This window comes from Homo sapiens, chromosome 20 (genome assembly GCF_000001405.40).
Source record: "Homo sapiens chromosome 20, GRCh38.p14 Primary Assembly".
In the NCBI taxonomy this organism is placed as follows: Eukaryota; Metazoa; Chordata; class Mammalia; order Primates; family Hominidae; genus Homo; species Homo sapiens.
In genome coordinates this window covers 35,534,936-35,557,644 of record NC_000020.11, presented here as the reverse complement: position 1 = coordinate 35,557,644, position 22,709 = coordinate 35,534,936, and the positions used below count along the sequence as shown (strand labels likewise).

The 22,709-nt window shown below is 48.8% G+C and overlaps 1 protein-coding gene and 1 pseudogene across 2 annotated transcripts, besides 1 other annotated feature; one reads left to right on the top strand and one right to left on the bottom strand.

The window, feature by feature from the left end:
• Nucleotides 1-10: 10 nt before the first annotated feature.
• Nucleotides 11-15,567, bottom strand: ERGIC3 (ERGIC and golgi 3). 2 transcript variants are annotated; one of them, NM_198398.2, is made up of 14 exons: nucleotides 15,460-15,567; nucleotides 15,252-15,322; nucleotides 15,045-15,132; nucleotides 14,704-14,823; nucleotides 10,140-10,233; nucleotides 8,971-9,136; nucleotides 8,780-8,837; nucleotides 3,259-3,273; nucleotides 2,570-2,601; nucleotides 1,516-1,612; nucleotides 1,374-1,438; nucleotides 536-672; nucleotides 396-451; nucleotides 11-220 (listed from the first exon to the last, which is right to left on the bottom strand). In NM_198398.2, exons 1-14 carry the CDS (start codon nucleotides 15,545-15,547, stop codon nucleotides 141-143), a joined length of 1,167 nt encoding a protein of 388 aa, NP_938408.1. In that variant the 5' UTR covers nucleotides 15,548-15,567; the 3' UTR covers nucleotides 11-140. The 2 variants fall into 2 exon arrangements, with proteins under 2 accessions (NP_938408.1, NP_057050.1); NM_015966.3 differs by lacking the exon at nucleotides 3,259-3,273.
• RPL36P4 (ribosomal protein L36 pseudogene 4) lies at nucleotides 12,863-13,262 on the top strand (annotated as a pseudogene).
• Nucleotides 15,806-15,895: an enhancer, noted in NCBI's record as "active region_17786". NCBI's record gives its function as "activates an Ori minimal core promoter by ATAC-STARR-seq in GM12878 lymphoblastoid cells {active_cell/tissue: GM12878}" and the evidence as "EXISTENCE:reporter gene assay evidence [ECO:0000049][PMID:35858748]".

Here is a 22,709-nt window from a genome sequence, read left to right as displayed (position 1 = left end):
GACCAGTGAGTACTATCACAATCAATCAATAGATTTATCAACCTGGGGCTGGGGCTGACCGAGGAGGTGGAGGGTGGCAGAGGCTGGGGGACAACCACAGGCCAGGGAGAAAGAGGAGACAGAGGAAGCACCGAGGGTGACTACGTTGTCTTCCCTAGATCAATTTTCTTCTGGATGGCTCGTGCTGAGTGGTAGATGAGCGAATCGATGAGTCCAGCCACTGGGAGAGAGACAAGGGCTGGCACTGGCCCAGTGGGGGCCTTGGCTTTTGACGCTGAGAGCCTTGTCACTTAACTGGCCAGGCCAGCATCTGCCCCTTCACCCCCAACCAAACCTGGGGCACCCAGGCTTTACCCTCCCCACCCCACAGCTCACAGACGCCCTGGGCCTCTTACCTGTGAACATGCCCCCAATGATGGCGCACACACCTGTCAGGAAGTGGGTGAAGGACCTGGTAGAAGGAGAGGGTGGGCTCAGCAGGCATCCTCCTCCCTCAGGCCCAGGCCCCCAGAGGCCGCTTTGCCCCCATCCTCACCTGTGCTTCTCCGTCAGCTTCACCATCATGGGCGAGAGCTCATAGAGGACGAAGACTCCGGGAAGGCCTTGGTCGCCCAACAGCCCATTGGCAACCTTCTCATGTCTGGTCACAGAGAACTGATTTGTCCTCAGTACCTGGGGTGGGAGGGGAGCCTGGGCCAGGGCTAGGGCTAGGACCTGGCTCCAGCCACCATCAGCCCCACCCCTGCTCCTTCCCCTTTCCTGTTGAGCCTTGGCCGTGTAAGGAGAGAACACAGCACCGTGCTAGTGGCCTGCACTGCAAGGCCTGGCCCGCCAGACCCCCTCTCCTAGTCTTGGCCTCAGCCTTCCCCTCCAGGTGCCAAGTCTTTACAGTTTACCTATCCTGGCAGCATTTGGTGGGTGTTCTCACGGGGGTCCAGGCTGAGAAGCAGCTCTCCAAAGACGCACCAAGGCTGACCTGACTTCCTCTGCCCTCAGCCCCTCGCATCCTGCCACTCTGCTGAGATGCTGCTCCACAGGCCAGGGCAGCCTTGGGAGCGGGTACACAGAGACTTGCCTTGCCTAACCCCCAGCCCAGGCAGACCACAGAGAACAGTGAGGCAGGCAGACGGTGGGCACCGGAGGAACGGATAGAAGCGGTGAGGGCAGCAGAAAGAGCAGGCGCTTTAAATCTAACAGCCCCAGGCCTGCACTCTGCCTGGGAGGGCAAATCCCCCACCCTCTCTGTGCCTCAGTCTTTTATTCGCCATGTGAGGACGAGGCAGCTTTCACTCCCCAGGCTGACGGAACGAAATGCAGGAACTCCAGTGCTTGGCACCGCGCAGGAGACTCTGGTAGGGAGCTCCCTGACTCACCTCTCCGTCCACCTTCATGTACACAGTGGGCACCACCTTCACAAAGTACTGGAACATCATGGAGGCTGAGGGGAAAACAAAGCACTGGGTATGGGTGCCCGGCCGGCCTTCTGCGGCTGGGGGCTGCCTCCCGGGCTGGTACCTTGGGGCGCAGTGACATTGGTGTGGTCCAGGGGGTTCACAATGCCTGGATAGTCCTCCCCAAATGACAGGTGCTGGATGTAGTGGGTCATGTTGATCTGTAAACAACACCATCCAGAGCTCATCCAAAGCTCTGATGACAGTAGCAGACAGGGACACCTGGGTCCGTCTGCGGAGATGTGGGAGGAAGGGGAGGCTATGGTCCTAAGGGGACAACCTCCCCGAGATAAGAATCCCCCATTCCCTGCCTAGAAACTCCTCCTTCCACAGCCTGCAAACTCCTGGGGTTCCAGATTTTTCTTTTTTTTTTTTTTTTTTGAGACAAGGTCTCACTCTGTTGCCCAGGCTGGAGAGCAGTGGCATGATCTTGGCTCACTGCAGCCTCGCCTTATTCAAGCGATTCTCTTGCCTCAGCCTCCTGAGTAGCTGGGATTACAAGCATGAGCCACCATGCCTGGCCAGGTTCCAGATTTCTTAAAATACCAGCTTCACTTGTACGTTAGGCACACAGAGTAGCAGGTGCTGGCTTTGCCTGGAGGCCTAGGCTGGAGGCTGTGAACCCCCAGATACACTCCCTTCCTGCTCCCTTGTGTATCAGCCTCAGACACTAGAAGGATCTTTCCTAAAATGCAAATCTGATTATGTCGTGATCCTGCTTAAAGAAGGCCAACAGCTTTCCACTGTTCTCATGAGAAAGATGTGATTCCTCAGCGTGGCCTCTGAGTCCGGTGTGGTCTGGTCCCTGCCGACTTCTCCAGCCTCACCCATCCACACCTGCCCCGCAGTTCCTTAGAAGGGCCATGCTCCCGCCTGACCTTGCGCTGAGGCTCTGTCTGTCTAGGATGCTCTTATCCAACCCCAATCTTGCCCCTAGCCTGCTCAGAGTTCAGTTCAAAAGTCACTCTCGCTTAACCCTCAGGCTGGATCCCCATTCAGAACGTGGTGTATTTTTCCATATGCACTACCCCATCCCAGGATGTTCCTACAAGGAAATGAAGGCAGCAACCAAGCCTCCCACCCCCACCTGCCCTCCATGGTTTCCATCTGGTACGTACGTTGTCAAGGCCAAAGCTCTGCAAGTCATGGACTAGGAGAGAAGGGAGAAGGCAAGGGAGAAGGCGTCATTAGTAGGAGCAGCACTGGCCTCCTCCTTCCTCCCCCTGGACTGCAAACCACCTGTCTTCTCTGCCCCTCATTCCTTCTCCAGCCTGGCACCTCCTGGTCCTGCTTAAGGACAGCCAGAAAGGGCAAGCCTTGGGCCTGTGTGAGAGTTCACGCCCTCCTCAGGAGTCTTTAGAACAGACCCTGGTTCCTCCCTGACGTCCACAGGGAACTCTATGCCTTGACTACCACCATGGCCCTGCCTGCATCTCCGGAAACAAAACCCACCGACTATGGGCTCTCACTAACTAGAGCTGATGGCAAATCACTGAACCTCAAAGTGAGGTGGGATCTGAGAATGCCATCCACACTTTCCCTGCCTCCACCCTCAAAGCTCCCCAGAAGAAATCCCATGGGGACCCTGTACCAACTGTTCCAGAACAATTTATTCCTGCCCTCTAGCCTCAATCCCTCCTGCTGCAAGGAACCATACTTCAAAGATACATCCCAGACCTTTTACAGTCACCCAGCAGCCAGGTCAGAGGAGACCCAATCACAGCCCCATCCAACCTCCCCGCCATTCTAGTAGGGCAGGCTGCCCCAGAAGTAGGGGTTTGGCCTCCATGGGGGCAGGGCCACTTACTCTCCACAGCATGTACTGCAGCATGGGGGAGGGAGGAGAGAGAAGAAAGATTCAGAGCTTCACAATGAGAACTATGAGAGCAAGATATGTTGCAGGAGGGAAGACTGGAACATTCAGCCTCAGCAACACAGTCTGGCCCCAGCTAACAAGCCTCCTTCTGGGCCCCTCCTCGAGAGTGAACTAATCTGGCCAGAGAGGAGCAAAATAGTGGCCTAGAAGGACAAGAGGCCTAGAGCTCAAAGAGCCAAGTTCCTGACTGTGTGGCCTTGGGCAAATCAGTTGCCCTTTCTGGGCCTCAGTGTTCTCCTTTGCAAAGGGCTGTCCTAAGGATCACGTGGGATCTAAGATGGAAAAATACTTGTAAACTTTACACTGTAAGAGATTATTACCCACCCCAGCCCCAATCAACAAGGATGTTAGAAACTCACTCCCAGGCCTCAATTCAGCCAGATCTCTGGCCTTGGGCAACTGTACCTTTGCATTTATACATCCTTCCAAATACAGAGCACCCCCGGCCCGGGGATCCACAAGTCTAACAGTCCCAGGCCAAGAGGCTGCCACTCTGGCTGTGTGTCTACTGAGTGCCCGCCAGACCTTGTGCCAACAGCTTGACACTGATCATCTTCCTGCCCTCCCAGCAAGACCCTTTTCTCCCAGCTTCCTCCAGAGTGAAGAGGGGGTCCCAGAGCTCTGCAGGGTCCTCCAGCCCCCACACTGGCCCCTCCCCAACACAGCCCCACCCCCACAGATTGCCCTGAAGACCAGCAGAGCTACCCTCCAGGGGGCCCTTTCTTCCTGTTCACTTCAACCATTTTGAGAGGCCATCTTCATACCCTGGGCTCTGTCACTGTGCAGCTCTGTCCATCCTTTACTGTGACACCAACTCCCACCTTCCCCAACCCTGCCTTCAACCCCTGGGTTCCTCTTCACTTTCTTGCTTCAGCCTGGCTCTTCCTTTCAGGCACTAACTCCCTGGCATCCCCTCAACGTGCGACTATCTTCTCTCCATACACAACCTCTTCCCTGGCCTAAAGAGAAGTCTTTCTTGCTCCTTACTGCCACTTCCAGATCACTTTCCCTTTATCTGCCTTAAAAATGCACAATGGCTCACATCTGTAATCCCAACATTTTGGGGGGCCAAGCGGGAGGATCACTTGAGCCCAGGAGCCTGGGCAACATGGCAAGACCCTGTCTCTGCAAAAAAAAAAAAAAAAATTAGCCAGGCATGGTGGCATGTGCCTGTGGTCTCAGCTCCTTGAGAGGCTGAGGTGGGAGGATCTCGAGTCCAGGAGGTCAAGGCTGCAGTGAGCCAAGATTGTGCCATGGCACTCCAGCCTCAAAAAAAAAAAAAAAAAAAAAAAAAAAATCCCCAGCTTTGAAGCTCAGGGCAAAGCAGCCCTGCTTGTTTCAGTCACCTAGATATCGATATGGAACCTCCAGAACAGTTTTCCCATGCCATTTTTCAACAGCTTGGGCAACTGCCTGTCACTCTCTCCTGTACTACCTCTGTCACACGTTCTAGTGATTTCCATATCCACGTAGATGATCCTTCCAGTACCCGGGCCTCCCAGTTCCTGGACATCCTTTCCTCCCTGATCTTGTGCTCTGCCTACCCAAGCCACTTGCTCTGTTGGCCATTCCCTAAACTTTGTCATTAACAAAGCCCCTTCTGTGACTTCAATTTCAAGCAACTCATGCTCCACCAGCTTTCTAATTTCCTCCAGTTCCCCAATTCCAATAACTTGTTGACACTACACTCAGGACTTGTAGTCCCTTTTTCCTCCTGCCCCCTCACTGGCTTCTCCACATCCTGTCTTTCCTCCTTTCCTAGCTCATATGCTGTGGTCCAGAATCAAGATGAGTTCTTTACATATTTGACTCCCTCACCTTTGCAGGCACCTGGCAACACCAAACCCCATGCAATTGCAATGTTCTGTTGACTGAGTCCATTCCCACACAGACAACCATGCTGACCGCTCTCTTTGCATTCACAGCCGCGGACTCCAGGGAGGCCCTAGGGCTGCATCAATCCTACTCAATCTCCCCAGTCCACGCACTCTTCCACCCCCAAGTGACCAGTCACATCTTTTCTTCTTTCAAATCTCCAACACCTCCTTCCCTCTCTCCTCATTCTCAACTGAGGACCTTCCTTCCTACAACACGGAGAAGATGGGAAGACTCAGAAGAGACTCTCCATGTACTTCTGCCACACCAGCTACCACCCTACCTGTACCTACAGAGCCTGCCCTTCCTCCTGGTGCTAAGTTTGGACTTTCCACATATGTAAGGCACTAGATTCTGTCTTCTTTCTCCTTCTCCAGGACTTCACTCCGGTCACTGTCTCGTCTCTGGAGCATCACTTATGCTCTTTAGTCGATAATTTCCAACAGCATATTAACATTCTGCTACATCACCCTCCTTAGAAAAGCCTCCCTCGACTCCACATTTCCCTCTAGCTTCAGCTCATGCTCTCTCCTCCCCTAGGCAATTTCCACTATAGAGCTGTCAATACTGGCTCCAACTCCTCCCCCATTCCCTCCCGAACCCACTCTAGGGTGGTCCTGTCACACCCTTAAATGACTCAGTCAAGGCTATAAGTGACTGTTGCATGTACATGCCATGGTCAATTCCCGCTTGACATCCAGAAGCATCTGATGTGGTATTTGAAACACCCGTCCGTGGCTGGCAGGATGCCACATTCCCAGCTTACACTCCTCCTCCAGTCTCCCCTACCAATTCCCCCTGACACCCTTGGCCTCTAATGTGGGAGGCCTGGCACCCAGCCCTTTGAGCTTCCCTTCTTCTCCATCTGCCCTCACCTCCAGGGTGATTTCATCCAGTCCCACAGCTCTATACACATGCTGATGATGCCAACATCTGCATCTCCAGGCAAGTCCTCTCCCTGAACTCCAGGCTTGAATGGAAAACTTACTTGACACCTTGGGTGTCTAGAAGGACACCCAGATGCTATTGGTCTGAACACGTCAAAAGCCGAATACCAGCTGTACGATCCCATTTCCGAACATCTAAACCTGCCCTGAGTCTCCCTCATCTTGCTAAATGGCAACTCTATCCTTTTTTTTTTTTTTAATGGAGATGGAATCTCACTCTGTCGCTCAGGCTGGAGTGAAATGGCACAATCTCGGCTCCCTGCAACCTCCGCCTCCTGGGTTCAAGCAATTCTCCTACCTCAGCCTCCCGAGTAGCTGGGACTACAGGCGCACGCCGCTACGCCCGGCTGATTTTTTGCATTTTTTAGTAGAGACAAGGTTTCATCATGTTGCCCAGGCTGGTCTCAAACTCCTCAGCTCAGGCAATCCACCTGCCTTGGCCTCCCAAAGTGCTAGGATTACAGGCAACTCCATCCTTCTTACTACTCAGGTACAAAACTTTGGAGGCATCCTTGACTCCTTTTTCCTTTATCCCTCATGCCCATCAGGAACTCTTCTCAGCTCTACCTTCAAAATACATCCAGAAGCCAGTCACTTCCCACCACTTCCACTGCCACTCTGGGCCGTGCCCCACCATCTTTTGCCTGGATTGATCACTGCAACTGCCTCCTAATGGGCCTCTCTGATTCTGTCCTTTCCCCTGCCCAGTCTTGTCCACAGAGCAGCTGGAGAGCTTTTAAGTCAGATCATGCCTCACCTTCTTCAGGGCCCTACAATGGCTTCTCATCTCATGCAGAGTAACGGCCCGAGTCCCTACAATGCCCCTGCAAGCCCTGCATGATATGGCCCTGTGACCTCTCTTTATTTATTATTATTTTTTGAAATGGAGTCTCACTCTGTTACCCAGGCTGGAGTACAATGGCGCAATTTCAGCTCACTGCAACCTCCACCTCCCAGGTTCAAGAGATTCTCGTGCCTCAGCCTCCCGAGTAGCTGGGATTACAGGCGTGTGCCACCACACCCAGCTAATTTTTGTATTTTTGGTAGAGACAGGGTTTCACCATGTTGGCCAGGCTGGTCTTGAACTCCTGACCTCAGGTGATCCACCCGCCTCGGCCTCCCAAAGTGCTGGGATTACAGGTATGAGCTACTGCACCCGGCCTCTCTCACTTCATTTCTAAGCATGCTCCTCTGCTCCAGCCACCCTAACCTTCTTACTGTATCTTGAACTTGCCAAGCACATTCTAGCCTTAGGAATTTGCATTTGCTGTTCTCTCTGCTTGTAACACTTCCTCCCCAGACATCCACATGGCTGGCTCCCTCACTGTCTTCAGGTCTTTGCTAAAATATTACCTCATCAAAGAGTTTTTCCCTGACCTCCATATTTAAAATAGGACCCTCACTGCCCTACCCTAGCCCCTCCCCATTACCATCTTTATCCTGCCTTGTTTTGGTCCATATGACTTAACAGCATCTGATATACCATATACAGATGCTCCCTGACCTACACTGGGGTTACGTCCCAATAAACCCATTGCAAGTTGAAAATATTGTAAGTCGGCCAGGTGCGGTGGCTCATGCCTGTAATCCTAGCACTTTGGGAGGCCGAGGCGGGCAGATCACTTGAGGTCAGGAGTTCAAGACCAGCCTGGCCAACATAATGAAACCCCATCTCTACTAAAAATACAAAACTTAGCTGGGCGTGGTGGCACGCACCTGTACACCCAGCTACTCAAGAGGCTGAGGTAGGAGAATCACTTGAATCCAGGAGGTGGAGGTTGCAGTGAGTCAAGATCATGCCACTGCACTCCAGCCTGGGCGACAGAGTGAGACTCTGTCTCAAAAAAGAAAAAGAAAATATCGTTAAGTGAAAAATGCATGTAATACCCATCATGAAGTTAAAAATTGCAAGCTGAACCATTGTTAATTGGGGACTATTTATATTTTATATACTTATTGTCTATTTCTTTACTAGAATGTTCTGAGGGCACAGATTGTTCACTACTGTACCCTTAGCAACTAGACTAGTAGGTGATTACTAAATATTTTGTGAATGCATGAATGAACAAATGAATGAGAATAAATCTCATTTGTTCACCCCAACAGCCCTGTGAGTGGGTACTATTATCATCATCCCCATTTTACAGAAGAAGCAACTAAATAGGGCCCAAATATGACATAGCCCAGGTGTGGCAGAACCTGTGCTCCAACCTAGCTCTGCTTCTCCCAAAGCCTCATGCACAGGTCATCATCGGACACGGGGGGCTACCATTTCAACAAGTACCTACCACAAGCCAGGCTCCGTGCTATCATCTTTAACCTGCACACACACCCTGTGAGATAAGTGCCCTCACAACATTTTATAAAGTAGAAAACAGGAGTCAAAAAGATTAAGAAACCTTCTCAAAGTCACACAGCCAGTAAGGTCTGAAACTGGTATCTGAATGCAGGCAGTCTGGCTCCTCGGCCTGTGCTCTTAGCCACTGTGCCAAACTGCTGCCCTGAGATGAAGGCCTGCTCTGGCCAAATGGTTGCCCAAGACAAATGAGCAGCAGGCAGAAGAGGACCACTCAAGCTCACCAAGAAGGTGGCCAGCATCTAAATCTCCCCAGCTAGTGCAGATCACTCACCGTGCACATGGGACTGCTGGAAGCTCTTCCCAGGGGCAAAGTGGAAGTTTCCGGCCACCTGTAAGGAACATTCTCTCTCATTCACTGGCTGTGTCCTCCTTTTGCCTACTCAGGGCCTGACTGGGCCCTCGGTTCCCAGTGGAGCTTGCCCAGCCCAGCTGGCCCTATCTTGTCTTGATCCCTCCTGATACCTTATTGACTTCCAAGAAGCCATACACCTGGCAGCCTTCATTCTTCTGCTCCTGCATCTTCTGGCTGAAGCCCTCTCGCCGGCACTGCTCAATAGTATCTGGGTTCTTGAAGGCCCAGCCTCTACGGCGATATGCCTCCCGCACATCTTCACAGGTGTTACAGCACCTGTAGGGCAGGGAGTGACGGTGAGAGTGTTAAAGAGGCATAAGTCCAGTGCTGGCATCTGGGGAAATAGAGCCCGAGCAGCTCTGCCTGCTAATGAAGGCTCTGCTAGCCTCATCCCTGACCACCAAACATTCTCCAAATGTGTTTCCTCAGTGGCAGAAGGACTGTTTTCTTTTTTTAATTTTTAAAATTTTTTTAGAGATAGGGTCTTGCTATGTTGCCCAGGCTGGTCTCAAACTCCTGAGCTCAAGTGATTCACCTACCTCGGCCTCCCAAAGTGCTACGGATTACAGGTGTAAGCCATTGTGCCCAGACTAGGACTGTGAAAAATACATATTCCCATTCTGTTTGAGGCGATGACAAGTTTTAGGACAGAGAGTGGTGACTGCATGACACTGTGAAGATACCTAATGCCACTGAGTTGCACACTTAAAAATAGTTAAAATGGTAAATTTTATGTCACATATTTTCCCACAATAAAAAAAAATTTAAGTACACATTCCCAGGCCCCACTCCAGACCTGCTGAATCAGTCTTGCAGAAGTCAGGGTCTGGGAAACAGCAGCAGTTATCAGATACTGAGGGTCTAATAATCTGGGCTGGGCCTTCCACCTCAGTGCTTTACACACAGTATACAGCTAATCCATATGTGACTCTTACGAGAAGATGTTATTATCATCCCTCTTCACATAGAGAGGTTACATGGCTTGGCCCAAGGAAACGGGTAGAACCCAGGTAACTGGACTCCAGAGACCACCTCTGAACCATTTCTCTAGGTGGAAGAGCAGAGACCACTTCAGCTTCATCTCTAGGTCTGCAGCTCCCAGATAGGGCCTGGTTACAAAGCCTCAGTCGCTTGCACCAGGATCAATGACAGAGGCACATACCCCGCCCACTCTAGATTCTTGGTCTGACCTCCCCACCTGCCACAGTCTGACTGAGGCTGAGGCTGACTGACAGATGGCGCCTGATGGGAACCCTGCTCCCGCTCCCCGCCAGCTCACTTGATATCTTCTGCCTCAGCACCATAGCAGCTCTCACAGCGATCAGGGTCCAGGGAGTCAGGGTCAAACACCGTCACCTCGACTTTCCCAAGCTCTAAGGGGAGGGGAGAAGCAGAGGCATCAGCTGGGGCCAGACACAGTGAAATCGGTGGCTCCAGTCTGCACAAGCCCTTTGCTTAGGGATAATAAAAGTTATAATAACTAATATTCATATAGTACATGCTACGGGTCAGGCATTAAGCACTTCTACACACATATCAATTCTTTTAATAAAAGAAACAGTAAGAAAACAGTCAACAGTAAATACTGAACATTAGCTGTGTACAGATCACTGTACTTCACAACCATCATCTCATTTCATCCCCACAATGACTCTTTGAGGGTGGCGGTAATTATCCCTGTTTTACTGAGAAGATGTTGAGGCTCACTGATGAGAAGTGACTTTGCCCAATGCAACCGAGGAAACAGATTTCAGCTAATTCCAACGTGTATGCCACTAACCTCTTGCCATGGTGCTTCTCCTCACACCTCTCCCTCTGCACCGGCTCCTTGCCTCACTCTAATCACCCCATCATAACTGGTGATTTCAATAATGAATACTGACCTCCCGACTCATGATAATCTTTTGATTTTGCCATCTCACCTCAGCTACCCATTTTCATACTCATACCTAGATCCTGTCACTGCCAATAACTGCAAATCTTCCAAAATTCAACTTCAAGTGTCTGAGTCTTCAACTACTTACCCTTATTTTCCAAGTTCACTATTTAGTACCCGAAATCCACCAATTCTTTGACACTGCTGACACTATCACGTCCTCACTTCCCTCCTGAAATCCCATGGTCCACTGTAATTATTCTCTTGCACATAACCACAACTCCCTGTTCCTCTCGTCTTTCATTTACAAATCCAGCAAAACCCACACCCTGGTTCCATTCAACTCTCTGTACCTACTTCTTTCCTGAAGCTCCTTTAGGACTGCCTGGCAATTCCACTTCATTTCTCTAATCAGTTCACTCTCCCACTCTCTAAGGTGACTTAGACCTTCTCCTCTCTCCTTAGGCTCCCAAAACCCCCTCCTATTTCTTCACTTAGCTAATGTCCTTGCTTTCAATTTCCACTAAGAAAAGAGAAGCAACAGAACTTCACTTGCTCTCACCACCAAACCCACCATCTCACCACTTTCTCCTTCAGATCCCACTCCATTTCTCAGCTCTCCCTTACAGTGAAACTCCCAAGTCACCTATAGGTAATGTCTCCACTTCCTTTTTTGCTCTTTGATCCGATTTTCATCCTCAACAGTATCAAAATTGTTCCTTTCAAAGTCTCCAGGAATCTCTTTGTTGCTAATTTCAATGGTCAATTCTCACTCCTCATTTTACTGGACTATCAGTAGCTTCTGATACAACTGCTCACTCTCTCTTCTTGAAACTCTCTCCACTTGGCTTTTGGGACACCTCTTGGTTCTTCTACGTCAATGGCTAATCCGTCCCAATCTTCCTTCCTGTCCTGACTTTTAAATATTGGAGATACCCAGGGTACAGGCCGTAGACCTATCCTCTACCTACATTGACTCCCCAGGTTTTCTTAGTCCAGTTGTTTAAACTACCCTGTACCTGCTGATAACTCCTCTAAATTCTAGACTGGTACATCTAATTGCCTCTTAATATCACCAGAGTATAAAATAGGAACCCCAAATTTAACATACCCCAAACCTGAGATTCCTCTTTCCTGCAAATCCTGACCTTACTCTGTGGAAGCTAGTTTCCAAGATGTCCTCAATGATCCCCACTTCCTAGTATTCACACCCTTATGTAGTCCTCTCCCACAATGAGTAAGGCTGACCTGTGTAAGCACTAGTATATTGCAGAAATGATGGTGTACAACTTCTGAGGCTGGGTCATAAAAAAGGTTACACGTTTTTTTGTTGTTGTTGTTGAGACAGAGTTTCACTCTTGTTGCCTAAGCTGGAGTGCAGTGGCGTGATCTCGGCTCACTGCAACCTCTGCCTCTCTGGTTCAAGTGATTCTCCTGCCTCAGCCTCCTGAGTAGCTAGGATTACAGGTGCCCACCACCACACCCGGCTAATTTTTTTTTTTTTGTATTTTTTAGTAGAGATGGGGTTTTACCATGTTGGCCAGGCTGGTCTTGAACTCCTGACTTCAGGTGATCCAACTGCCTCAGCCTCCAAAAGTGCTGGGACTACAGGCGTGAGCCACCATGCCTGGCCAAAGGTTATGGTTTCTACTTTGTTCTCTCAGCTCACTTGCAAGATCCAAGTGGGGGAAGCCAGTTGCCGTGATACAAGGACACACAAGCAACCCTACTGAGAGGCCCATGTGGTGAGGCACTGAGGCATCCTGCCAACAGCCCTATGAGTGAGCCCTTTAAAAGCAGATCCCCTGCTGGGCGTGGTGGCCCATGCCTGTAATCCCAACACTTTGGGAGGCCAAGGCGGGTGGATCACCTGAGGTCAGGAGTTTGAGACCAGCCTGGCCACGATGGTGAAACCCTGTCTCTACCAAAAATACAAAAAGTAGCCGGGTGTGGGGGCAGGCGCCTGTAACCCCAGCTACTCAGAAGGCTGAGGCAGGTGAATCACTTGAAGCCGGGAGGCAGAGGTTGCAGTGAGCTGAAATCGCACCATTGCACTCCAGCCTGGGTGACAGAGCGTGACTCAAAAAAAAAAAAAAAAAAAAAGTAGATCCCCGCGTGGCACCAGCCCTTCTGCCACAGCTGCCATTGGAGAGCAGCAGCCATGGCTCTGTGCTACCCACTATGGCCGTGTGCCTTGACAAGGGCCACAAGATGACCAAGAACATGAGCAAGCCCAGGCACAGCTGCCGCCGCGGGCGCCTGACCAAACACCAAATTCATGTGGGACATGATCCGAGAGGTGTGTGGTTTCGCCCCGTATGAGCGGCACGCCATGGTGTTACTCAAGGTCTCCAAGGACAAACGGGCCCTCAAGTTCATCAAGAAAAGAGTGGGGACGCACATCCGCACTAAGAGGAGGCAGGAGGAGCTGAGCAATGTCCCAGCCATCATGAGGAAAGCTGATGCCAAGAAAGACTGAGCCCCCTGTCCTGCCCTCTCTCTGAAATAAAGAACACCTTGACAGAAAAAAAATAAATTTAAACAACAAATAAGTAGGCCAGGCGCAGTGGCTCATGCCTGTAATCCCAGCACTTTGGAAGGCTGAGGCGGGTGGATCACAAGGTCAAGAGATCAAGACCATCTGGCCCAACAAGGTGCAACCCCGTCTCTACTAAAAATACAAAAAATTAGCTGGGCATGGTGGCACAGGCCTGTAATCCCAGCTACTCGGGAGGTTGAGGCAGGAGAATCACTTGAACCTGGGAGGCGGAGGTTGCAGTGAGCCAAGATCGCGCCACTGCACTCCAGCCTGGGCGACAAAGTGAGACTCTGTCTCAAGATAGACAGATAGATAGATAGATAGATAGATAGATAGATAGATAGATAGATAGATAGTAGATTCTTCAGTGCCCCATCAATCCTTAGATGACTGCAACCTCGTGAGATACCCTAATCCCGAATCACCCAAACAAGCCACTCCTAAATTCCTGACCCAGGGAAACTGAAAAAACACATTTTTATTGTATCAAACTACTAACTTTTGGAGTACTTTGTTACACAGCAGTGGATATCCAATAGCCACTCCTCCCTCCCACCAAAAAAACCTTCTCCTCCAGTCATCTCCATCTCAAGTCATTCATTTGCTCAGGCTGAAAGCGTTGGAATCAACAACCATGACTTTGCTCTCCTCCACTCCACATCCAGTCCTATAGCAAATTATGTTGGTTCCACTGGTGTCCTGCATTAATCTGCTGAAACAACGAATGATAAAACTCCCCACCAGAGTAATCTCTAAGGTGTTAGAAATCCCAGCTTTGAGGACAGTTTGCTGTGGTGGGAAACTGAGTTAACGAAGGGAATTGGGAAGCCACCAAGATAAAGGAAAGGAAGGTAAAAGTGGGTACCCACTCTGTACCAGGCATTTTACACATATGACTTCATTTGATCTTACAATTCCATGTGGTTGGTACTACTGTTTTATTACCACTTTCTAGCTGAAGCTCACAGACTGCAGGAGACAAAGCTAGATGTGAACCCAGGCAATCTGACTTGAGAACCTAAATTCTCATTAAACCACCTGCATTCCAAAGGGGAAGAGCATTAAGGGCTGAATTAAGCCAATGGGCTGGGAAAGCAAACACTCAAAGAAGCCTGGGTCCATCTAGACAGTTCTACCAAGGCAAGAGCACATAAGACCTATCTTCAAACCTCTGGTATTCAAACTACCATCTGCAGGTATTGAGGACCTCTGAGAATAATAGCCAGGTAGATTACCTGACTCGATATGTATAGAGGATTTTAGCTCACTCTGACTCTTACTAGCTGGGGGACCCTAGGCAAGTCACTTGACTTCTCTAGCTCTTAGTTGTTTAATGTATCACTATGCCTGCCACAGTTCACTTGCTAGCAGATAGGCTTGGGTACATCCAGCTTTGGGATCTGAGACCCGGCCCCCTCCCCTGGTTACCATGCCGCTCAGCCTCTGAGCTCACGGGGATGCCATCTTTATCTAGTCGTTGCTTGAACAGGTTGTGTTCCACATCCAGCTGCTGTTCTCCGGCCACATCCATGGCATCAATACTCAGATCTGGAAGCAGGAAAATCAGGCTAAGGTACTGGGACCCTAGGGACAAGGGGATGTGGGTTTTGGAGGGGAAGGGGATACTGGGCCTGTCTTGGGGCAGAACGGGATGAGGAGAAGGAGGTTGTCCTGGGGTCCAGTCCAGAACCTAAGGGTGGAGGTGTGAATCTGGCAGCCCACATGAGAACCCTGGGTCTCTCCAGTCCCACCCATGGTGAGGTACTCACAGGCACAAGGCATGTGCGGAAAAAGTACATCGATGTTGATCTTCAGTTTATCTCCCCGCGACTTGTCCACGTAGAGCTCAGGATGCACCTGGGGCAGCGCTACCTCAGTAAGACTTAGCCCCAAACCTCTCCTTCCCCACTCCCACCCCTAAAGGTCCTACTCCTAGAATGCCAAGCCCCGCCCACGCACTAAGCCCCGCCCCTTACCTCCGTGGTGAGGTAATACTGCAGCTCGGACAGGAACAGTAGCAGCATGAGAAGGCCACTGACAATGGTCACTGCAGGACAAGGGGCGAGGGTCAGAATGGCCTCGAATCCGCTCCCTCAGACACCGGCAGGCCAGTCAGAGTCCAGGAGCCCGGGCTAAGCTCTAGGACGCCCCCCTCCACGCGACCCCGGCCCCGCTGCGGCCTACCGGTGGCGCCCCCGCAGGTCTTGACCCGGAAGTCCTCCAAAGTCTTGGGGTAGGCATCGAACTGCTTCAGCTTCCCCAGCGCCTCCATGGGGACCGGCCGGAAAGGGGACGCCAGCCGGCCCGCCCCTACAGACTCCCTCTTCCGGCCTGGAGCCACGCCCCCCTCTTTTTCCTCACGCAGGCGCAGCAAACCGCACGCTTGGCCCCACCTTTAGCCGCGTTCTCTTACAGGCGGCCCCGCCCAACGATGCTGCCACGCCCCCTTGCGCGGGCAATTGGGTCTGGAAGCTACTGCCCCGGCCTCCGCTGTCCGGGGCGGGATTTTGAGGACTGGGGTGCGAGGAGTTCTCTGCGGGGTTAGAAACGCTAATAGCACCGTTCGTGTGCCTTGTGCTCGGAACTGCACCAGGTGTTTAAGACTCTTGGAACATCTTGGAATATCCTGGAACAGTGGTTTTTCGAGTGTACCGGACCGGCCGCATCATTATCAACTGATTACCTATTAGAAATGCAAATAATTGATTCCCACCTACTGAAGCCGAAACGCTAGGAATGGCATCGGATGATTCTGATGTAAAGTAAGGGTGTCCGCCCTGAAAGCAGGTGTGACTTATCTCCGTTTTCCAAAGAGCAAACTGTGACCTGGAGAAGTTAAATAACTTGCCCAAGATCACAGCCAATTAATAGCAGGACCTGCTTCCAGCCCAGTTCTTCTGGACCTCAAAGTACTCTGGGAATCAGGGTCTTTTGGGTTGATTTTACCTAAACAGCGTCCCAGTGCTTCTCCTGAGCGCTGCTTTCTGAATATTACCCTAAATTGCTCTCCAGGCCCTGGGATCCTCACGGACACGCTCTATCCCTCCAGGTTTAGACTCAAGTGATATGGAGCTTAAGCTCTCCCTGACACTTCCCATTGCAGCCCAGTGTCTCTAGAGGGACAGCTCCCACAGTAATGCAGCTGCAATGAGTAAGATATAAAAGCTCATAGGCTTTCATACAGGAATTCCACTTTAGGAAGTAAAAGCACCATGTCAAGGTTAATAGAAAAATTTTGAAAAAGAAAAAATATGTAAGCAGCTATCCAAGGTTAACAGAAAAAAATTTTAATATAAGGATAAAAGTACCATGATCTGGGTGGTTGTTACACCTTAAGATATTGAATCTGTCTCTTAAAGATTTTAAGTGCACCACATCATAAAGATGTATGCATGAGATTGTTCAATGGCAAAAATCTGGAACCAGCCAGAATGCCCACTGATACATTAAATAAATTGAATAAATCACGATACACCCATTCTATGGAATATTAGGCCACTTTTCAAAAGAATGAGGTAGATTTACTCCTTTAGGTATACTAAGAATGTATTTTTAAGGGGGAAAAGATGCAAAGTAATGTGCATTCCATCATTCCATTTTTTAATTAAAAATTGGGCTGGGCACAATGGCTCACACCTGTAATCACAGCACTTTGGGAGACCGAGGAGGATCACATGAGGCCAGGAGTCTAAGACCAGCCTGGGCAACACAGCAAGACCCCACTCTACAAAAACTTTAAAAACTACATCTGTAACCCTAGCACTTCAGGAGGCCGAGCCAGGAAGCATCACTTGAGTTCAGGAGTTTGAGACCAGCCTGGTCAACATGGTGAAACCCCATCTCTACTAAAAATACAAAAATTAGCCAGGCGTGGTAGTGTGCTCCTGTAAACCCAGCTACTTGTGAGTCCGAGGCAGGAGAATCGCTTGAACCTGGGAGGCGGAGGTTGCAGTGAGCCGAGATCATGCCATTGCATTCCAGCCTGGGCGACAGAGTGAGATTCTGTCTCCAAAAATAAAAATAAAAATAAAAAAATTAGCCAGGTGTGGTGGCATGCGTCTATAGTCTCAGCTACCTGGGAGGCTGGGGTTGAGCCCAGGAGAGTTTGAAACTGCAGTTGTTACCAGGTTACCTGCAGTTGTTACCAGCATAGAGTTGTCCAGGTTCTTGGCGTGTTGAACAAAACACATAAAGTAACAGAAGGGCAACGAAAGACAAACAGCAACAGAAGAACGGAATAACAAAAGCATAGATTTATTGAAGACGATTCATAGCGGCAGCTGGTTAGAGCAAGCTGCTCAAGAGCCTCCTCAATCAGGGTTTGTATTAAGCTAAAGGGACCTGGCAACACCCCTAGGTGCCCTTTAGAAGCCTCCAGTTGGCTACACCTATGAAGGATTGGCCTGCGACCAAATCAGAGGCTGAAGTGGAGACTTGGCCCACAGCCAATCAGAGGCTGAAGTGGAGATTTGGCCCCACGGTCAATCGGAGGCGGAAGTGGAAACTTCTGTCTCGTTATCATAGGATTGAAGATGTGGCCTGTATGCTGCCTAGAACTGGCTGCACCCCTTCATTTGCTTATGTCTTAACCCCCGGTTACCCTGATTCCCTGTTCTCCTGCCTCATAGTGAGCTGTGATTACACCACTGCACTACAGCCTGGGCGACAGAGCGAGTCTCTCTCTCTCTCTTTGTGTGTGTGCATATATATATATATAATATATATAAACTGTTATATATATTATATATATAAACTTATATATATTATATATATAAACTGTTATATATTTTATATATATAAACTGTTATATATATTATATATATAAACTGTTATATATATTATATATATAAACTGTTATATATATTATATATATAAACTGTTATATATATTATATATAAACATATATATAAACTTATATATATTATATATAAACTTATATATATTATATATATAAACTGTTATATATAAACTTATATATATTATATATAAACTGTTATATATAAACTGTTATATATAATATATAAACTTATATATTATATATATAAACTGTTATATATATTATATATATAAACTGTTATATATATTATATATATAAACTGTTATATATATATATATAAACTGTTATATATATTATATATATAAACTGTTATATATATATATAAACTGTTATATATATTATATATGTAGTTATATATAAATTGTTATATATGTAAAACATAGGCCGGGCGCTGTGGCTCACGCCTGTAATCCCAGCACTTTGGGAGGCCGAGGCGGGCGGATCACGAGGTCAGGAGATCAAGACCATCCTGGCTAACATGGTGAAACCCTGTCTCTACTAAAAATACAAAAAATTAGCCGGGCGTAGTAGCGGGCGCCTGTAGTCCCAGCTACTCGGGAGGCTGAGGCAGGAGAATGGCGTGAACCTGGGAGGTGGAGCTTGCAGTGAGCCGAGATTGCCCCACTGCACTCCAGCCTGGGCGACAGAGCCACACTCCGTCTCAAAAAAAAAACAAAAAAAAAAACCTAAATAAAAAAAAAATCTATCTATATATAAAAATCTTAATCTTATATGGGGGAATATGTATTTGTATAATCATGAGAAAAGATTTGGAAGGACTCATGCTACAACTTTGGGGACAACTGGAGGAGGACTTTTCACGGAAGCCAAAGTTTTTGGGTCTCCCTCAGCTAACAGGGTGGCAGAGGACACCTGGGATCTCCCTCTATTATCTGGGCTTCAGATTCCTGAGAGCACCAAGAATTCTATCAGAAATAGGTAATAAGGAATCTGCTGATGGAATTAAGTCTAAAGCTCTGCTACCCTAAGTGGGATCCTTGAACCAGAAACATTGGCCTTATCTGGGAACCTGTTAGAAATGCAGAATCCCAGTCCCCACCCCAAACCTGCAGAATCAGAATCTGCATTCTAACAAGACTCTCCAGATAATTAGCATGCACATTAAAGTGTGAGAAGTACTTTCCTGAAAGGTTCCTTGTTTTATTGCCCACATAGGACCAAAACCAGCAGCACAGGAAAAAAAAAATCTGAGTGCCTCAAATATTGCACTAAGCCCAGGCGCGGTGGCCCATGCCTGTAATCTCAGCACTTTGGGAGGCCAAGGCAGGTGGATCACTTGAGGTCAGGAGTTTCAGACCAACCTGGCCAACATAGCAAAATCCCATCTCTACCAAAAAATACAAAAACTTAGCTGGGTGTGGTGGCGGGTGCCTCTAATCCCAGCTATTCGGGAGGCTGAGGTGGGAGAATCGCTTGAACCCAGGGGTGGGGGGCAGAGGTTGCAGTGACCCGAGACCATGCCACTGCATTCCAGCCTGGGTGACAGAGTGAGACCCTGTATCAAAAATACTTTAAAAAAAAGGCCAGGGGTGGTGGCTCACGCCTGTAATCCCAACACTAGGGGAGGCCGAGGAGGCCAGATTACCTGAGGTCAAGAGTTCAAGACCAGCCTGGCCAACATGGTGAAACCCCATCTCTACTAAAAATACAAAAAATTAGCCGGGCGTGGTGGCGCATGCCTGTAATCCTAGCTACTTGGGAGGCTAAGACAGGAGAATCGCTTGAACCCAGGAGGTGGAGGTTGCAGTGAGCCAAGATCATGCCATTGCACTCCAGCCTGGAGGACAAGAGTGAAACTTTGTCTGAAAATTAAATAAAATAAATAAAATAAAATAAAAATTATTAAAAAATAAAAATTAAAAATTGCACTAAATTCAGATTTTAAAATGTAATATCCATGTATGCAAGCAACACTCAAATATACACACACACACACTGTGTCCCTGCCCTGTGTTGAGTCCTGGGAAGAGAGAGTTGAATTAGAACAGTTCTTGCCTTCAAGAATGTTACAGTCCTGGCTGGGCACGGTAGCTCACGCCTGTAATCCCAGCACTTTGGGAGGCCGAGGAGGGTGGATCACCAGGTCAGAAGTTTGAGACCAGCCAGGCCAGAAGACCAGCCTGGCCAATATGGTGAAACCCCGTCTCTACTAAAAATACAAAAATTAGCTGGGCATGGTGGTGGGCGCCTGTAATCCCAGCTACTCAGGAGGCTGAGGCAGGAGAATTGCTCGAACCCGGGAGGCAGAGGTTGCAGTGAGCCGAAGATTGTGCCATTGCACTCCAGCCTGGGCAACAGAGCGAGACTCCGAATCAAAAAAAAAAAAAGAAAGAAAGAAAGTTACAGTCCTAATTATGGATATTAATATATCCCTTAATAAAATAATAAAAATAAAAATAATAGCTAATAATAATAATTTTTTAAAATAGCTAGCATTGGCCGGGTGCAGTGGCTCACACCTGTAATTCCAGCACTTTGGGTGTCAGAAGTGGGAGGATCACAAGGTCAGGAGTTTGAGACCAGCCTGACCAGCATAGTGAAACCTTGTCTATACTAAAAATACAAAAAATTAGCCAGGCATGGTGGCGTGCACTTGTAGTCCCAGCTACTTGGGAGGCTGAGGCAGGAGAATGGCTTGAACCCGGCAGGCAGAGGTTGCAGTGAGCCAAGATCGCATCACTGCACTCCAGCCTGGGTGACAGAGGGAGACTCCATCTCAAAAAAAAAAAATACCTAGCATTTGTCAAGCCACTACTATGTGGCAAATATGGTGGTAAACTCTTTTTTTTTTTTTGAGACAGATTCTCATTCTGTTACCCAGGCTGGAGTGCAGTTGTGCAATCTCAGTTCACTGCAACCTCCACCTCCCAGTTCAAGCGATTCTCATGCCTCAGCCTCCCGAGTAGTGGGATTACAGGCGTCCACCACCACACCTGGCTAATTTTTTATATTTTTGGTAGAAATGGGGTTTCACCATGTTGGCCAGGTTGGTCTCGAACTCTGACCTCAAATGATCTGCCCGCTTTGGCCTCCCAAAGTGCTGGGATTACAGCCATGAGCCACCGCACCTGCCCTGTTGTAAACTCTTTTATCTTCACCTATATCATGTCAGTTCATCTTCACAACAACCTTAGGCCGGGCACAGTGGTACACACCTATAGTTCCAGCTACTTGGGAGACTGAGGCAGGAGAGGGAGGATCACTTAAGCCCAGGAGTTTGAGACCAGCCTGGGCAATATAGCAAGACCCTGTCTCTAAAAACAAAACAACAACAAAAACAACAACCTTAGATGCTAACTGCTATTATTATCCCTGATTAAAAGCTTTGAGTGGCTAATAAGCTAATATCTAAACTCCAGTCTGTTTTATTTCAAAGTGCATAGCTCAAATCATTCAATGACTTAAGATCAAAACTTTGATAAGAGGTGGCACAGGGGGACCATGGGAGTCTGTAAGGGAAGGTGACTAACATGCTGGGTTAGGGAATGCTTCCATAAAAAGGAAGAGGAGGGACCCTGGAGTTGGGTGACTGTGGCAGCCTGACCGCAGCTCACCAAGGAAGGAGCAAAGACAAGGAGAAACTAATACTAACTGAACATGGACAATATGCCCATTGCTGTAATCCATTTCACCCTCAAAACAACGTGGGAGTTAGGTGCTTTTTTTTTTTTTTTGAGACAGAGTTTCGCTCTGTCACTCAAGCTAGAGTGCAGTGGCGTGATCTTGGCTCACTGCAACGTCTGCCTCCCAGGTTCAAGCAATTCTCATGCCTCAGCCTCCTGAGTAGCTGGGATTACAGGTGCACACCACCATGCCCAGCTAATTTTTGTATTTTTTGTAGAGATGGGGTTTTGCCACGTTGGCCAGGCTGGTTTCTAACTCCTGGCCTCAGGCAATCCACCTGCCTCAGCCTCCAAAAGTGCTGGTATTACAGGCATGAGCCAGCGCATGCGCAGCCTAGGTGCTACTTCAAGTCTCATTTTATAGATGAGGAAGCCAAGAGGTGAACTGACTTTCCCAAGATGGCAGGCGCACGCCTGTAATCCCAGCTACTCAGGAGGCTGAGGCAGGAGAATCGCTTGAACCTGGGAGGTGGAGGTTGCAGTGAGCCGAGATTGCACCACTGCACATCAGCCTCGGCGACAGAGCGAGACTCCATAGAAAAAAAAAAAAAAAGTGAAAGTACATTTCAAAGAATTTCTAGAAATGAAAAATAGTCATTTAAGTTTAAAAACCAGTAGAAGGGCTAAACAACCAATTAGGCACAGTTAAAGAGAGAAATATTGGCCGGGTGCAGTGGCTCACACCTGTAATCCCAGCACTTTGGGAAGCCAAGGCAGGTGGATCACCTGAAGTCAGGAGTTTGAGACCAGCCTGGCCAACATGGTGAAACCCCATCTCTACTAAAAATACAAAAATTAGCCAGGCATGGTGATGAACGTCTGTAATACCAGCTACTTGGTAGGCTAAGGCAGGAGAACTGCTTGAACCTGGAAGGTGGTTGCAGTGAGCTGAGATGGGGCCACTGTACTCCAGCCTGGGCAACAGAGTGAGAACTCCGTCTCAAAAAAAAAAA

Coding starts and splice junctions, on each gene's coding strand:
- ERGIC3 (NM_198398.2), bottom strand. CDS start 15,547: ATGGAGGCGCTGGGGAAGCTGAAGCAGTTCGATGCCTACCCCAAGACT. Junction 15,323..15,459: donor GACCTGCGGGGGCGCCACCG/GTAGGCCGCAGC, acceptor CTTGTCCTGCAG/TGACCATTGTCAGTGGCCTT. Junction 1,439..1,515: donor CAATGTCACTGCGCCCCAAG/GTACCAGCCCGG, acceptor TTTTCCCCTCAG/CCTCCATGATGTTCCAGTAC.